Source organism: Homo sapiens, chromosome 5 (genome assembly GCF_000001405.40).
Source record: "Homo sapiens chromosome 5, GRCh38.p14 Primary Assembly".
Taxonomy (NCBI): Eukaryota; Metazoa; Chordata; class Mammalia; order Primates; family Hominidae; genus Homo; species Homo sapiens.
The window spans coordinates 65128396-65132403 of record NC_000005.10 but is presented as its reverse complement, the minus strand read 5'-3'; positions in this window follow the sequence as shown (position 1 = coordinate 65132403).

Genomic DNA, 4008 nt, shown 5'->3' with positions numbered 1-4008 from the left:
GCACGGTTAACCAGAGGGCCAAGGTGACACTGGCAGAAAGAGCACTGGATGAGGGATCATAAGAGCTGAGTCCTACCCCTGCTTCTGCAACCTGTCTGTACATCACTGGCTTCAGTTCCCTCTAGGTAAAGTGGAGTTCATACTTCCCTACCCTGTGTGTTGACTTGAGGCTCGAATGACATTCTATGTGTCAGATGTAAGGTTGTGGGTGCCCCAGGGCTATTCCACCATTACCCTGGCTTATTGTAGATCTCAAGGTGGTCCTGTCCCACCATCCTTGTCAATGTACGGGCTTGGCCTTCCACTTCACCTGCAGCTAATCGCGTGGAACCTTGGTGTAGATGAGCCAGTGGAATTTCCCTGGGAATGTGGAATTGGGATTCAAGGATGCAGCCCATCTATGTGTATGGCTGCACCTGCAGGACACATACACTTGTGTTCTGTGGGGTGGACATCTGCCATGTGTGTGGAGGCACAGAGGATGCTGATTTAAATAGAGAGGAGGCCAGGCGCAGTGGCTCATGACTGTAATCCCAGCACTTTGGAAGGCCAAGCGGGAAGGATCACTTGAGTCCAGGAGTTCAAGACCAGCCTGGGCAACAAAGCAAGACCCTATCTCCACAAAAAAGAAAAAAAATTAGCTGGGTATGGTGGTGCATGCCTGTGGTCCCAGCTATGTGGGAGACTGAGGTGGGAGGATCGTTTGAGCCTGGGAGGTCAAGGCTGCAGTGAGGCATGATGGTACCACTGCACTCCAGCCTCAGCAACAGAGCCGAGATCCTGCCTCAAAAAAAAAAATTAATAAAAAAATAAATTGGAGAGAAAGCAGCCACAGAGAGACAGCCAAAGAAGAGAGTCTGTCTGGCCCCACAGAGAGAGTGGCTGCCTTTGTTCCAGACAGCATCGCAGAGTCTGAGTTCAGTCCCTTGTTAATCATGGCTCTTTCGCTGCTATTCCATGAGGCCCTCCTAAATTCTTATACCACGTTCTCTTTTTTAAACTCACACTAGATTTGAATTCACTTCTATTTGCAATTCTAATAACCTTAGCTAACCGTCAAGAACCTTGCAGGTCAGATGAAAAATCTTAGCCCTTATCTCATAAGCAATGGGGACAGTACACAGCCAGTAAAGCAGAAGCTCCTCAAACTATCACTTAAATACAACATCGAAATGTGTCTGACACAACATCTTGCACATAATGGTCACTCAATATATGGTCCTTGAATTAAAACATCAAAATAGGATATAAGTCATGTGCAGGACTAATACTGTAGTTTAGTAAAGGAGAGCAAAACAATGAAAACAAACTGCTGAGCCCTCTCACTAATCTTCCTAATAATTAAATAATCTATTTATTTAGGAAATGGCAGGGGCTTCATCTCTTCTAAGTAGTATATTTTTCAGAATATGTGTATATATTCTGGCATCAAATAGTGTTTAGATAGTACAAGAAAGGCAACATTAATGAGGTCTTCTTTTCTGTATGGTAATTACAGACAAAATACTTCCAGGAATAGGTATTTTCCAAATACATACAAATATTAGAAAAATGTTAAGAGAGGAAACCTAGATATTTCCTTTCCAGCAAAGCAGTACTTCTCAACTCTTCACTCATGCTAGATTTGATTTTGCTTGTTTGTTTTGAGACAGGGCCCTGCTCTGTCAGCCAGGCTGGAGTGCAGTGGCATGATCATAGCTCACTGCAGCCTTGATCTCCCAGGTTCAATCAATCCTCCAATCTCAGCCTCCTGAAGAGCTGGGAATACATGTGCGTACCACCATGCTTGGTTAATTTTTTTTTAAATTTTTAATAGAGACAAGGTCTTGTTATGTTGCCCAGGCTGGTTTCAAACCCCTGAGCTCAAGTAACCCATCCACCTTGGCCTCCTAAAGTGCTGGGATTATAGGTATGAGCCACCAGGCCCAGCCTCATGCTGTATTTGGAGACTGTGTTCAAAACCCCAGAGTAATGGACACAGATAAACTAGAGAATGAACACATAAAAATACCACGGTAAGGAGACAACATTCAAGAACAAGGTCTTGGATCAGAGAATATTTGGCATGAAGATGTCTTTGCTGCAGTCTGAATGCTTATGGATCCCAGGCCCCAAATTCATATGTTGAGACCTAATCCTCAATGTGATGGTATTAAGAGGTGGAGCCTTTGAGAGGTGATTAGGTCCACTCTCTTGAATGGGATTTGTGTCCTTTTAAAAAATGCCTGAGGGAGCTTATTTGCCCTCTTCTGCTTTGTGAGGACACAGAAAGGACTGCCATTTAGCAAGAGGGCCCTCGCCAGGATCTGTTGGTGCCTTGATGATCTTGGACTTCCCAACCTCCAGAACTGTGAGAAATAAATGTATGTTGCTTAAAAGCCACCAAGTTTATGGTATTTTGTTATAGCAGTCCTGAACAGTATTTTGTTATAGTAGTCCTGTGGTATTTTGTTATAGCAGTCCTACGATAACCTTTGCAGGTTATCTTTATACCTGTCTTTAAATATCTTAAATATCTTTAAATATCTTAAAGATTTTCAAGTTGGAGAGAAATTAAGCTTGTCATGGATTATTCCAGAGTGATAAACCACAGGGACATTTTTTCATCTGAAACAAACAACATTGTTGTTGTCCCAACATTACATAGTTCTTATGGTTTTTCCACCTCTTCTAGTAGCAGTGCCACACAGTGGGCCTATGACCCAAGAGGCAGGGCCTCTCAGGGAATGTATACCTTGTCCCTTTCTAGTGTTTGCTGCATGACCTGTGAATTTCATTTTCCTGGTGAAGCCAAGTTGGATCCGTGTTGCGAGCAACTGAAAGAGTCCTGCCCAGGATTTATAAGAGTGATGTGACAAGAAGCAGGCAGTTTCTAAGCAGTGAGTTCTCACCATGCAGCATGATCACAGAGGGCCAAGAAGTAGCTTCATGAGGTCGCTTCAGAGATTGAAAAACTGGCTGGGTGTGGTGGCTCATGCCTGTAATTCCCAAACTTTGGGAGGCCAAGGTGGGTGGATCACTTGAGGTCAGGAGTTTGAGACCAGCCTGGCCAACGTAGTGAAACCCCGTCTCTACAAAACAAAAAAACACAAAAATTAGCCGGACATGGTGGTGCACAGCTGTAGTCCCAGCTACTAGGGAGGCTGAGGCAGGAGAATCACTTGAACCCGGGAGGTGGAGTTTGCAGTGAGCTGACTGGAGTGCCACTACACTCCAGCCTGGGCGACAGAGCAAGACTCCATCTCAAAAAAAAAAAAAAAAAAAAAAGAAAAACCAAGAAGATGTTGTCTGCACTAACTGCCCCCTCCTCACCTCTTGATTACTGCATAATAGTAACATTCTCCCTGCAGTTTATTCACTGGGAAGCTGAAAACGATGCATCGGACATGCCATATGAAAATAAAAAGCCAGTAAATCATGTAAATAAATTAATACTATACTCAATTACAATGGGAATTTATTACTCATCTTATCTTTATTTAATAGCTATCTCCTCTGTGCCAACACCTGGCACAAATATTTCCTAATAAATTAGAATATAGGTGGATTTTTTTCATTTTAATAATTTGCAGCATTTAAAGGAAATTACTTACTTGAATTCAGAGATTTATCTAAAATCCAAGTATACTCACGAGGACAAGAAACTCTCCCTAGACTCACCCTAGGTGCACTCCTCCCTGCAGGAGACGGCCCTGTGTCCTGGATTTAATTCTAATTTCCCATTTGCTTAGGGCAGTGGAGGGAGGCCTGCCCTATATGGGTGTCTGAAGCAGGTTCTTTCATGTCCCAGGATGAGATTGGCCCTTCTGGCACGTTGGCCCCTGGCAGAGGGATTACATTAGTGTCAGATTTCTTACCTTACCCCTCAACCCCAACAGACACAGAAGCCTCTCTCCAAAAGTCACCATGGGAAAATCACCCCGACCAGACAGAAAGCCCCATGACTCTGCAGGCGGAACCTCCACAGGCTGGCCCAGAGCGGCAGAAGCTGCTGGAATGTTTAAGCAA